This window comes from Homo sapiens, chromosome 1 (genome assembly GCF_000001405.40).
Source record: "Homo sapiens chromosome 1, GRCh38.p14 Primary Assembly".
Taxonomy (NCBI): domain Eukaryota; kingdom Metazoa; phylum Chordata; class Mammalia; order Primates; family Hominidae; genus Homo; species Homo sapiens.
The window spans coordinates 204261094-204274821 of NC_000001.11; the positions used below are offsets into that span (position 1 = coordinate 204261094).

At 50.3% G+C, this 13728-nt stretch overlaps 1 protein-coding gene across 31 annotated transcripts in view, besides 2 other annotated features; it reads right to left on the reverse strand.

Annotated features, from left to right (window-relative positions):
* The window catches only part of PLEKHA6 (pleckstrin homology domain containing A6), a 159316-nt gene that overhangs the window by 42241 nt on the left and 103347 nt on the right, over positions 1-13728 (reverse strand). For 22 of the 31 annotated variants that reach the window (XM_047449464.1, XM_047449463.1, XM_047449459.1 and 19 more), the window contains 6 exons: positions 13636-13716; positions 12533-12647; positions 7115-7219; positions 6382-6454; positions 3849-3949; positions 213-415 (listed from right to left, as the gene is read on the reverse strand). In XM_047449464.1, the coding sequence (XP_047305420.1) occupies positions 213-415; positions 3849-3949; positions 6382-6454; positions 7115-7219; positions 12533-12647; positions 13636-13716 (678 nt within the window). The other 9 variants (NM_014935.5, XM_047449454.1, XM_047449456.1 and 6 more) reach the window with 4 other exon arrangements.
* Positions 5521-5665: an enhancer, noted in NCBI's record as "145 bp enhancer 91/92 fragment used in the MPRA reporter construct; PK_construct_19". NCBI's record gives its function as "activates an SV40 promoter by MPRA in HepG2 cells {active_cell/tissue: HepG2}" and the evidence as "EXISTENCE:reporter gene assay evidence [ECO:0000049][PMID:23512712]".
* Positions 5586-5599: a transcriptional cis regulatory region, noted in NCBI's record as "HNF1 motif; enhancer activity is reduced when this motif is scrambled". NCBI's record gives its function as "necessary for full MPRA enhancer 91/92 activity {active_cell/tissue: HepG2}" and the evidence as "EXISTENCE:site-directed mutagenesis evidence [ECO:0005528][PMID:23512712]".

Genomic DNA, 13728 nt, shown 5'->3' on the forward strand with positions numbered 1-13728 from the left:
GAGAGAAGAGGAGGAGCTGGCTAGGGGAAGAGAGACTTCAGGCTCTGAAATCACTCAGCCAGGCCTCCCGCCTGGATGCAAGGAGACGGCTCACACATTCTCCAGGGCTTCAAGTAGGCACACTGGGATTAGCAATGGCCCAGAGCTGGGTGTGTCTTCCATTCCCCTCTTTATTCTTCCTGCACCCCCACACTCAATTCCCTGGCACTCACCTGTGCCGCACAGCTTGGGGCACTGACTTCTGGGCTGGAGGGATCTGTACTCGAGCAGCCTCCCCCATGGCCTGGATCCAGGCCTCTTGCTCCTCGGGGCTCTCGGCACTGAAGAAGTAGGTGCGGACCCCGGCATGCTCAGCCTGTGGGGAGAGGCAGCGTGTGGAGCTGGCCTCGGCCTCATCCACCCAGCACACAGTCACCTGTTGGGAGAAGACACCAACGCCCACAGAATGGGCAGTCAGTTGGGCCATTCCCTGCACCTGGGGCTCTTCCCCATGCGGAGCTCAGGAGCAAGGTGAAGAGGGCAGCTTGCAGCTACCCCGAGGGTTCCAGCTGGTACCCACGTATCCACCTTGGCTGGCTCTCTGGGCACCATTAGGCAGCCCAATAACCAGGTCAGCCTACTTGCCCCACCTGGGGTAATTAAAGCAGGAGGGACAATGATCACACCCATTCTCCCGGCAAATTCCATGTTTGATTTCAAAGGCAATGACCCCATGTCTGGGAGAGAGGACCCCCTGAGCACATGCCAATCTTAGCCCCAGCTTCACTGCTGAGAAGCTAGCACTGTCTCTTCCACGTGGAGAGACAGCCAAGCCCCTCTCTGCAGGCATGCAAAGCAGGCACTGGCATACAGATGGGGCACACTACCTAGTTGGTGGCTGCGAGCAGGTACTGCGGGCGGGAACCCAGAAGAGAGCTCCTGTCCAGAGGAGGGGTCCTCACGCGGTCAGAAGGAGGAGAAGCAGAGAACAGGTCAACCAAACACCAAAGGGAGAGACAGAAGACGACGTGGCAGGAAACGGTGAGGAGCACAGGGAAGGGGGAATATTCAGATTGTCCTCTTCTACTCAGCATTCCCCCGGGAATGGCAGCACCCAACAATGCCCAGTTCTGCCTACCAAGGGGTGGGGAGTGGAGAGCTTGCACCAGGGAAATTCAGGCTGGTGGTGGAGAGTGAGTCAGGGAATCGCAGTGCTAAGCCTGGCTCTGCTCCTGACCAGCTCTGCAACTGCAGACAAGTTGTGGTTTTGCTCTGGTCTTCACTGATGCATCTATTTCACGGGAAAAGAGTCTGCCTGGTGAAATTCAAAGTTCTTAGGCCACAAGGAAAAGAGGCCACAGGACTAAATGCTTTCTGGGACCTCAGCACACTTCCCAGTGAGATCCTCAGTAGCCTAGCTTAGCCCACTCAACAGGGGACATCTAGCAGTGATTCAGAGTCTCGGATGTGAGCCTCACTCCAGCCTCTGACCCCTTGAGCCCTAAATCCTGGGTCTCTGGGGGTTGAGATAGCTTCAGGGCTCCCCTGAACAGCAACGTCAAGCCCACACCCTCTAAATGCTCAAAAGATTCCTCAGCTGCAGCTGGTCCCACCTCGCCTCCACCTGTCCCCAGCCCTCATTTTCTTTCTGACAGGAGCCATTACCCAGCAAGAGGCAGGGGTGGGCCTCCTTCCTCTGGTCCCCACCCTCCAGCAGAGGGCTTAGCATGTAGGTGTGGGAGAGGGCAGGGGAGGTGTTGACAAAAAGCCAGTGAAGACTAAGAAGCTGAGACTTGCGACGGATAGGGGATAGAGAGACCAGGGGCCCAAGCAAGCCTTCTAGGTGGAGAACACAGGGTTATTGTAGAGCGGAGACACACAGGCAGGGCTCGTGGGTGTGTCCTGGGGTGGGTGGGAGCGGGCAGCAAATGAATTCATCAATTCAATGAGCATCCAGGGAGCAGCCTGTGTGTGCAGAACTCGCTGGGGGCACCAGTCACAAGGAAGGCAAAGACAGGCTCTTGCACTTGAAGAGCTGACAGTCACGCTGGGGGACAAAACATGCCGCGGGAAACAAGGAGAGAGCAGAGGCACAGGGACAAGTGCTGTGACAGGAGAAGGCAGAGGGCCTGGGAAAAGACAGGGCCATTGATGGGGAGTGGGTAGGGGCGCTGGCCTGGAACTATGAAAGGGGGCCAGAGAATTGAGGGAGCTGTCCCAGCGGGGCAAAGCCCCCGGAGCCTCTGTGGGGCCAGAGTTAGGGAGAGGTTAAGGCATTCAGCGGTAGCCTGGGCAGGAACAGTTCCTGGCTCATTCTTAGCCATCCAAGAGTTTCGCTCGGTGGCCACAACAGGACAAGCCTCCCATCTGTCTCAGCTCCCCTCCCTTCCCTGGGGAAGGGCCATGGAATAGCCACAATCAGAACCCTTTGTGGGCCACCGAGCACAGCCCTCAGAGTCAGGTTTAAAAGAGGCAGCGCAGTGTGGGGGAAGGAGGCGAGGGGCTGGTGGGCAGAGAGGTGATATCTGGGATCTGTGGTGGAGGGAGTGTGTCAGTCACTCGGGGATGTTTATCTCACGCCTGCTGCTGGCAGAGCTCCGAGCTGGAACGTGTCTGTGTCTCTGCACAGGTCTGGTGGGGAGGGTGAGACAGGCTGTTTGATTGTGTGTGTGGGTGTGTGTGTGTGTGTCTGTGTATAACAGGACTACTTGTTGTTGGTTAAACAGCCTGTTCCTATTTCCCCAGCTAGAACTGGCTCCCTGGAGTCAGAGCTTTATTAATTGTTCATTCTCTTCACACCTCTGGCATACAAGACCCCGGGAGGCTGGAAACTAATTATGTGCCAAATAAGTCCTTCCTTGCTCCCTGTAGCGGGCCCTGTGCATGCTGCCCAGCTCTCTTCTGTGGCCAGGTGACTGGAGCCTGAAGGACAGGAAGGGACAGAGTCCCTTCTTCTAAGGCTCTAGAAGCTCAAGGAGTGACCTACAGATCCAGTCATCTAATATCATAGCTTTGAAGGGTCTTGGACAGCAATTGTCAATTAGGGGAGAGAGGGCTTTGTACCAAGAAAATGTGTGGTTGGTATTATAATTTTATATTTGGAAAATGAAAAGGGACCTATGATTTTTACATCATAAAATACGAAAGGGCATGAGATTTTTATAGTTTCTGATGGGTCGTGACTTTTTAAACGTGGAAAAACACTGGCCTAGGATGAGCCAGCTGCAGGCACATCTTTAACGGGTGGCTCCCCAGGGGTTCAAGGCAGTGATATTGAGCAGGCAGGAAAGGCCCATGTTCCTGTGCACTTGTTCTCTCAAATGGTTTCTTCGTAAGATTTGCAGCTCTTGTGGAATGAAACTCAACTTCTAATATTCGTTAAAGATTGAAATTTGAGTAACTTTGACTTGGGGGTAGGTCCAGTTTCCTGAAACCACGGTGGGGAGGAAGCCTTTCCAGAAAAGGTCTCAGAACCCACCAGCCACAGCTCCTGCCTCTGCCCAGAGGGATTTCCCAGGGGCAGGAACTGGGCAAAAAGTCCAAGGACTAAGAACATAACTATTCCTGCCCCAGTAACAATTGTGGTGCTGCTGAAACACATCTCTACTGGCCCACTCTTAGGAGAATTGCCCACCCAACCCCCAAGAGAGGAGGAAGGTCCCAGCATAGCCTTGCTCTAGCCTTACAAGAGACTGTGCTGAGTCTAGGGGCCATTACTACTCCTCCTCCCCCAACCCACCACCACTGCTATGGCCACCACCACCTGGGATTCCTTAGAGCGATGGCTCTTGGCCCTTCTCCATTCCCATAGGCTCTAGAAGAGCAGGCCTTCCTTCCCCACCTGCCCTGGGAAGGGAAGGCCAACTGACCTTAAACGTGTGTTTCCGGCTGATGTTGTCTGAGGGCTGCACTGCGGCTACCCGGAAGCTCAGGAGGGGGATGCTGCCCAGGATACTCTCTTCCTTCTCATCTGTCAGGGAGAGAGGCACAAGAAGGGTGTGTGTGTGTGTGTGCAAGCGTGTGCGTGCGCCAGGGGTGGGGAGGAGTGTGTTGTCCCTCCCTGATAAATATCAATACATATTTGTTGTTCACCTCCTGTTTGTCAGGCACTCAGGGCCACCACACATGCTCCGAGAGGACACTCCCTGGAGTTAGGGAGTGTGGTGGCCCTGGAGATGCTGTTCCAGACACTGGGACTACAGAGGTGAGTAAGAGAGAAGTAGTGCCTACCCTAAAGGAATTTGCATTCTAGTGCACAAATAAACAAAGAAATAACAGCTGATATTTTGGAAGCGTTCAGGCACTGTTCTAAGTGAAATGCCTTCATGGATTTAATCCTCCCAACAAACCTATGAGGAGGTACTATTATTACCCTCATTTTATAGGTAAGGAAGCTGAGACACAAAGAGGTTAGATGATTTATCCAAGGTTACTTAGGCAACAAGTGGTAAAATTGGTCTTCAAACACAAAAACTGAACTCCAAAGCTAGCATTGTTGACCACTATCCTATCTATCCTGCCTCGCTAAATGAGACCATCCCAGCAGTGACATATGTAACAAGGTGATGGGATAGATCATTGTAGAGTGGACTATCCCACCTTCTGCTCTCTGGTGCCTCTGGGTAACTCTTTCTAAGGTTCTCCCTGGCACTCAGAGCCTGCTTTGCCCTTTTCTGCTGCAGATCCCTGCTGAGGTTCTATGTCTCCACAGGAAAAGGAGTGCTCCCTGCATGGAGTGCTCTGGCCCTCTCCTCCCTGGGATTGGGCTAACAGTCCAGCTATTACATAATTCATCCCGGATCTCCAAAGGAGCCTGATGGATTGGCCAGTTGGGCCCCAGCTGGAAGCAGGAAGCAAGAAAGGGCGGGGAGTGCTCTGTGGGACAGTGGGGGGGACAATTATGAGACTATGGCAAGGCCCTCTCCAATTCCCTGGGATCACTATTTGTTCCCCAGGCTGGGGACTCTGAAAAGCCTTTGGCTAGGGTTCAGAAGAAACCTCTGTAGGGTTATAAACTCCTTAAGCCCTGCTTCTCCTCCTACTCATCACATCTACACGATACTTGGCCCACAGATCAGCTTCTCTGTTTGGACCCCAGCATGGTACCTGGAGGAAGGGGTAAACCAGAGTAGTAGGAGGCACTTGGGGTTGGACCCCAGGGCTGCCTTCAGGAGAGCTGAGGCTCTTGTCCTCCAGAGATGGAGCCCCTGCATGACAGAGTCCAGGCCAGCATTTAGGGGAGTCCTGGGTCCATCTCTTTGTGAACAGTGGCCCCCATTTTGGTGTGTCCTGAGCCTTTGGGTTCTCAGCTCCTTGAGGTTCTACCCCCACTGCTTCCCAAAGACTCTCCTGTGCAGAGACCCCCAATTTTCCTCCAGTTTCATTCCCACTCTGGCTCCACTGTGGCCCCGTATCCTGGAGGTTCAGCACCTCGGTCCTGGGCCTGGGCAGATTCCTCTCCCTGAGTCTTGGGCTTTTCTCTGGGACTGGACTCTGTATGCTCAGCCCCTTCCTGATTTCCCTCCTTGGGGTTCAGGTGGCTGCAATACAGCAACCAGCAACAGCAGTGCTCTGCAGGGTCACTGGGTACAACCTTTGTTTGCCAAAGTTAATGATTCACTGAATTGCTCCCACGAGGACTGGAAATCAGGGCTGTGCCTTCCTGGGCCAAGGGAGTGAAGGAAAGAGCCTCTCCTGCTTCATAACAATTGTACCCTCTCTCCTCTCATCCCTCACGCCTATTTCCTCCCCTGCATCCACATGGCGCCACCATCACTGACCTCAACCCTTGCTGGTGCCCTCAGCCTGCCTTGGCACAACTTTTAAAAATAGAGAGTAGGGAGAGGGTGTTGGGGTCAGCAGAGAAGGTGAAGCCAGAGGACATGTTCACTCATTCAGTATTGACTGAGCACCGACTAAATGGCAGGTAGTGTTTTAGGTGCTGTGGATACAGCAGTGACCAACACTGACAAAAGTTCCTGCCTTCACAGATGGGACTGTGCATTCCAGTGGGATAGGAAGAAAGGCCACACACAAGCTCCAATTAGTAGGTGACCTACTAGTAGTGACTAGTGACCTCCTCCTCTTTGTGCTCATCCTCTCTCCCCATTCCTCCAGGACTTCACCAGCCATATGACCACCTTGTTCACCCAGTGTATCGCTGGAACTCTGCCTGAAACCTAGCAAGCATTGTTGAATGTGAACTGAATGGGTGAGTAAGTGAGTGTGTGAGTGAACAAGTGAGCTTTGTTTTTATCCTGCTGCCACTGGTGCCAGGACCACAGTGAGGAGATCTGCCCTGCTGGTGCCCATCCAAAGCCAAGCTCGGGGATATGGCAGAATGAGAAAGAGTAGTGGGTCCTGGCTTCCTGCCATCCCTGCCAGTCCAAGGGCCAAGCTCACCTTTATAGTAGAAGAGGCAGCGATCCACCAGGACGAACCAGCGCTTGTTCCACTGCTTAACCCCGGAGCTGGCCTGCGGGACATGGGAGAGGCAGATGTGAGGGCTGCAAGCTGGACGTGGACGAGGAGATGGGATGCAGGGAAAAGGGCACAGTGCCAATTATAAGGACATCCTGGCCCTAGCTGCGGCTCTGCTGTTAATGCACGGCAGCAACCCCTGGAGACCTCAGATGCAAGGAACTGACATTAGATTGTTGCCTGTGACCTTCCAGTTCTGTCATTCAGTGCCTCCCCTGGGGAGGATAACAGGGGCAAGAGATGGGCAGAATGAGTGAGTGGAAGGGCAGGCAGGGATAGTGGCAAGGCCAATCTGGTGCCAATCGGTGGACCCTAGACTAGCAGGAGACACCCCTACCCCCCACCATAATAAGCAGGACCTGCTGGGGAGCTAGTGGGTTGTTCCCATGGGGTTGGGGATTCAGCATGTTTCAAGGTCATTGCATCTGTCCATCAGGAAACCGGGCTGGGTTCCCAAGTTTGACACAAATTTTTCTGTGTGATTTTGGGAAGATACTCAGTTTCTCTGAGCCTTTATAAAATTAGGAGACTCATTCACAGAGACAGCAGGGGGACATACCAAAAAAATACACAGCCTGTCATAAGCACAGAGGAATCCTTATTCTGTGAGGAGAAGGTGGAGGCTACGGTGGCCAGAACCGCAGGGTGGCCTCACCTGTTTGAAGAGCCAGCCCGCCTTGGTGACAGGTGCATTGGGGTTCCGCTTCATGGAGTGTGAGCGCTTGCCAAAGGCGACGGCTTTGCGGGCTGTGCGAGTTGCCTGGGGGCAGAGAGAGAAGCTGATCTAGGTCCCCAGTCTCCTCCTTCCTGCTTTATCTGCAAGGGAGCCACCCCTGCTAGAGCTGCTTCTCCCTAGGGTTAACCCTGGGGTGCCCTCACACCAAGGGGCCCAGGTGTGAATCTTGGATCTATTACTAATTCAAGAGCAGAGACTTTCAGTTCTTTGGCAATTTTTCTCATTTCTAAAATAGGGCTCAAAATAATAGTTCCAAAAAATAAAATAATAGTCCTCCCTGTCTCACAGCCTTTTTTTTTTTTTTTGGAGGTGAAAATAATAAGATTTCCAATTTCACTCTGGCCTATCCTACTCCCAACCTCCTACTCCCTCTCTCTTCCACAGTGTGTTCTGGAAGTTAACTCCCTGCATCCTCCTGCTCTGGGAGTCCTGTTCGTCATCTCATGCCCAACATAACACAGAGCCAGGAGGAGAGACGGGTGTTCTCCTAGCTCTGTGTTGCCACGTGGACCCTGTCATTCTTCCACACTATGGCAATAGTCCACCTTTCTGGAAGCACCACTGCCTGATCTCCCACTGTTTAATCCTTCTCATCACTGTCCGCTTCTCAATCGTTCTTTCAGTCTAAGGGTTTTGATGTTAGTCCTCCTCTTCATTCTGTCCTGCATCACTGTGGAAAATCTCCTTGCTCAGGAGCATGACCCATCAATGCCCTAACTTTACACAGCCTTGATGTCCCCGGCTCCAGCACCCTCCACCTGCACTCCAGCGATGCTCCCAGGGCTACACCTTTAATCTTCTCAGCACCCCAAGCCCCTCTGCGGCTAACATCTTCACTTCCAGGATTCCTGCTTTCTGATCCCAACATTCCACCCTTTGGGCTTTCTCACTCCATTAACTCAACACCAGCTTTTCTACTCCATTGAGGTCCCCAGCTCCTCAATTCTTGTCTTTTTTTCTGGACCCATCAGCTCCTCCCGGTTTTCGTTACTTCCCTACAAAGCCTGGCCCCATGGTGGAGTATATCAACCCGGCTCTCAGAAACCTCATCTATTGTCTTCCTACCTCACCTTCTCTAAAACTCAATACGGCACTCCAAATTAATCAAATTGTCTACTCTCCCTGCACTCATAGCCAGATTATGGTGCTGCTGGAGAATAAAAAAAAAAAATCACACTGCCATACAGATGAGGTTGCCACAGAGCCACAGTCCCAATCCCAGGAGGCTCAGCCCCAGATGGCAGCTCCACCCCACACCCTCACCATCCTTCCCAGCCCCCCGACCTCCCCTGCCTCTGTCCTCCCGACAATGGACCTGCTCCTCCACAGAGAAATTTGAGGCTATTAGACATGCACTCCCTCAATGTCACACCCTTTTACCTAGAAAATGACTGTCCTTACACTATCTTTGCCTCTTCCCCTCCAATGTCAAAAGAAGAGGTGCTGCCCTCCTTCCAAGGCTAAACACTTCTAACCCATTGTGTCCTCTGAGACTTAGCTCCACCGATCATCTCCTCTCAAATATGTTTCTGATGCTTCCTCCTCCACTGATGTCTTCTCCTTAGCAGATGCACTCAAGTCTCTCCATCTGAAAATGTCTCTGTCTCTCTCTCATGCTCCCACACACATACCCAAATTCCCCCTTCAATACACCCAATGTCCACTGTGAGGTAATACCTTCCCTTACTTACTCTTCAGTCCTAGGCTCCTGGGAAGAGTCTCAACTTTCTCTCCCTCCAACACTCCTAAACCTCCTCTACCTATTTTCTGAAATGGCTGTTGCACTGTTATGGAATTAAGGCCACTCACTCTAAAGCACTGGGCAGTCTTAACCTTTCTGACTTTCCTGAAACTCTTCTTTGGATTTCTACAAGACTATTGTTTCCCTTTCAATACCTCCATCTGTGGCCACTCCTTCTCAATCTCCTCTACTTCCACTCTCCAAGTGTTGGTGGGCCGCAATCACACTTTTATTATTTTATTTTTATTTTCTCATTTTTACATCGTGCCTGTGTTACCTCATCCATACCCATTGCTTGAGCTATAAGCAATATGATAAAATCTCCCTAAGCTATAGCCAAGACCTGTCTTCCAGCTCAACCCATTTTATGCCTGCTTGTCTGCCAGGATTAAGTAAGTGCAAAACTGAACTCATTTTCTTTCTAACCAAGCCTGTTCTGCACTTCTCATCTTGGTGAATGGTACCATGAGCCACCTAGCCACCCACCCCAGAACTCCACGTTATCTTACATAGGTCCCTCATTCCTCTGTTCCATTACACAATCATGTATACAGGGCTGATGAGTCTGTCTTCTTAATAGTTCTCAAATCTGCTCTTGCCTCTCAAATTCCACTACCGTGGTCTTAAAGGTCCTCATCACTTCCTGCTGTCCGCCCTCTACAATGAACTAAGGTTTTTTTCCAAAACACAAATAATCCTATTTCTCTCTTGCACTCGTCACTTAAGAGAGAGGTTGGATTCCTCAGCACAGCACAGAGGACAGGTTTGTGAGATATGGCAGGGCCTGTCACCCACCTTCTGCCCCTTCACCAGACAGGCCCTGCTTCTGGTTCTCTCCATCCTCCCGTGCCTTTCGCAGTGTGCTCCCTGGCATTGGGGGAGGACCCGTCTTCCCTTGGCCACTGTCAAATCCCAACTTATGCTTTAAAGTTTGCTGCAGACTCCCCCACTCCACGAAGTCCTGATCCCCCTGAGTGGTTAGCTGCACACTACTCTCCACACATCTGGACAGTCCAAGCCATGGCCCGTGGGCCACACGCAGCCCAGGATGGCTTTGAATGCAGCCCAACACAAACTTTCTTAAAACATTATGATTTTTTTTTCTTAGTTCATCAGATATTGTTTGTGTTAGTGTATTTTATGTGTGGCCCAAGACAATCTTTCTTCTTCCAGTGTGGCCCAGGGAAGCCAAAAGATTGGACACCCCTTGCCTAAAACCTGTCACAATGCAGCTTTCTATCTCTTCCATTGCACCATGAGCTCTTTGCAGGGAGGAACTTTTGTCTTTTTCATCTCTTTATCACCAGAGCCAGCAAGGTATCCAGCCATAACAAGCACTCAGCAACTGTTTGTAGAAGGAAGTAAGGAAGAAATTGGTCTTTATTATAAAGTACTCCCACAACTGGGAAATAACATTATTATCTGAACATTACTAACAAAAATACACATATAATGACTGAGATTTGCCATTGGAAGAAGTCACCACAACCCTATGCAAATCTCTAAATCCTTCCCTTTTCTCTCAGTCCAACACTTTCATAATTCTACCTCTTCTCTCCAGTGGTAAACTATGGTAAACTCCACCCATAGTTTACCACTCCAGACAACCTCCCACTGACTCCTGAATATCCTGGCCTCCTATCTTTCTGCCACAGCTTCTCGGCAAACTGAGGCTAATCCAGCTACCTGCCTTCCCTGCTCTCACAGCCAGGCTATGAGCATGCTGGAGGAAAACCACACAAACCTGCAGATTTAGGGCTGCACAGAATCATCTGCCCCAGATGATCCTTTGAAATTATAGGGCAACATTTCATGTGTCCTTCATTGACCATCATTCCTGTTTCCCAAACCTGTATCACGTATTTTCTTTTTTTTTATTATTATTATACTTAAAGTTTTAGAGTACATGTGCACAACGTGCAGGTTTGTTACATATATATACATGTGCCATGTTGGTGTGCTGCACCCATTGACTTATCATTTACATTAGGTATATCTCCTAATGCTATCCCTCCCCCTTCCCCGGATTAAGAAAATGTGGCACATGTATCACGTATTTTCAAGCTCCCAGTCCCGCACCTGATGCTTCCCCGCCCACCCCATTCCTCTCAGGAGAAAACCCTGCCTCCTACTTTTCTGCACAAGTTGAGGACATCATGTGAGAGTCTCTTTAATTTCCTAGACACCCACTCCCTAGCCTCACACGCCTTTTTTAATGCAGTTTCAGGAAGAGGTGGCTTTTCCCCATCCAGTCTAACAGCACCTCTGCATCTGACTCCCTCTGTCTCCATAGAAACGTGACTTACTGGCTGTCCTCTTTCTCCTGAACCTACTACCTACTGGCCTGTTCCCCTCACGCCTCTGACATCTTAAAACAAAACCAACAAATGAAACCTCCCTCCAGTCTTGCGTTACCTTCTAGCTTCCATTCCCTACCCTTCCATTTCCCATCACAGTCAAGTGTCTTTAAAAACACTTTTTTGAAGTATTTCAAACATTTCAGAAAAGTAGGGAATAATATGATGATCATCATTTCATGTTGTTTTTCCCTAATAAAACAAGACAACCGGAGCTAAAACTCCCTCAAGCCCCTCCCCAGTCTCATTACCTTTCCTTCCTCCCTAGAGGCAACCACTGACCCAAAATTAGTCTTCCTGTCCATGATTATGCACTTCTACTGCAGATGTTCCTATAAATATGTAGTACTGCTTTTCATGTCTGTACATTTACATAAGTGATATCATATTTCTCATATTCTGCCACTTGCTTTTTACTCAACATTATATTTTCAGGATTTATCCTTGTTAATACATACAGCTCCAGTTCATTTTAATTTTTGGCAAGTGCTCCATTATGTGATGATATACTACCATTTGTTTTCTAGTTCCTTAGAAGAGCGGTTTCTATGCTATGCTCTTTCTACATCTCCTCTCCCATCCCCCCTTTTACCTCTCCAGCCTGCCTTCTGCTCTTCTCACACCACTCAAACTGCCCTTGTCAGGGTCCCCTGTGACCACATTGCTGCTAAACCCAGAGGACACTTTCAGCCTTTGTCTTCCTGGCCCTCTTTGCAACATTCTTCTCTAGACTTCCTTCTCCTGGGGCTCTCTTCCTTCCTTCCCCCTCTCTGAGCTCTCAATCACCATGACCTTCGTGACTATCCTTCAAGACCAGTGGTTCTCAATGAGGTTGGGGAGATTTTGTCCCCAAGGGACAACTGACAATGTCTGGAGACATCCTTGACAGTCACCCCTGGAAAAGAGGTGCTACTGGCATTTAGTGGGCAGAGGCCAGGGATGCTGCTCAACATCCTACAATGCACAGGACAGTCTCATAGCACGATGAATCATCCAACCCCGACTGCTAGCAATGCTGAGGTTGAGAACCCCTGGTCTAGATGTTGGTCTTCTACGAGGTTCTGATCTGAGCCCTCTTCCCTTCCTACTCTCCACTCTCTTCCTGGGTCACCTTGCCTACTCTTGGAGCCTGCAGAAATAGCTGGACAGGCTACAATTTCCTAGGATTCCCAGAGATCCCACTAAACATGCACTGAAGACGTTTCCAGCCCAACAGCTTGCCTTGAGGGCTGGACTTACCCGGACGCTGGGCCGCTCTGGAGGGACCTCGGACACCATGTTGTGGTTGGGTATGTCACTGTTGGTGGTAGCCGGGCGTTTCCCACCTGTTTTATTGGACATGTCCAAGGTCGATCTGATTTCAAGTCGACCAGAGAAAAGAGATTGGTGAGATCCAAGAAACAATGGAAACAGCCCATCCTTTTTCCACACCCTGCCACCCACTGTTTCAGCATCAGCACAAAATTAGATCTCTTGAGTGCCATTGAGGGGTCACCTCAGCCACTCCTTTAGCCTTTCTGAAATTATATGTCAGGGATCTTGGACATTTATTTTATTTATTTTTTGAGACAGGGTCTTGCTGTGTCACCCAGCCTGTAGCACAGTGGCACAATCAAGACTCACCACAGCCTTGAATGCCTAGGCTCAAGTGATCTTCCCACCTCAGCTTCCAGAGTAGATGGGACCACAGGCATGGGCCACCATGCCTAGCTAATTTTTTTTTTTTAGAGAGACAGGGTGTCACTATGTGGCCCAGGATGGTCTTAAACTCCTGGACCCAAGTGATCCTCCCACCTTAGCTTCCCAAAATGCTGAGATTACAGGCATGAGCCACCTGTTCCCAGCCCTGGACATTTATTTTAAAATCTAGACCCTGGGGATCTAGAAATCCTTTCCTTCTACTTTAAAAGACACAACTGCTTAGTGGCCTATGAGAGTAGATTAATTATCCTCTTTTCTTTTTTTCTCCTTTCATTTGGTGAGCCAGGATCCACAGTGAGAGGAATTAGCATTTGGCTCTCATGATCATATCAGATTTTCTCAGCGCTTCCGTCAAAGGCCCCTGGGTGCTATGCCAGCCTCATACCTGTCTTCTACTCCATCAGCTCAACCTGTGGGGTGCACCACCCTGGCTTTTGCTAGACCCTAGGAAAAGTGGATGAGGGTGTCAAGCCAGATGGGTCTCAGATGCTTCCAGTCCTCAGAACCGAGGTGAGTCACTGCAAAGCCCTTCTGCTTTCCTTCCCCTCCCTGTTGCCTTCTGCTTTCCAGCTGCAAGGAGGCAGTGGGATGGTAGTGGTTAAGGGCAGAAAGCCCAAACAGCAAGTAGGGGACACACTTACATTTTCAAGTCAAATTTTTTGTTTTCCTCTGGGACCTGGCCAGTCACTGGGTGTAGAAATGTGTTCCGTCTTTCATTGTGGCTGTAGAGGGAA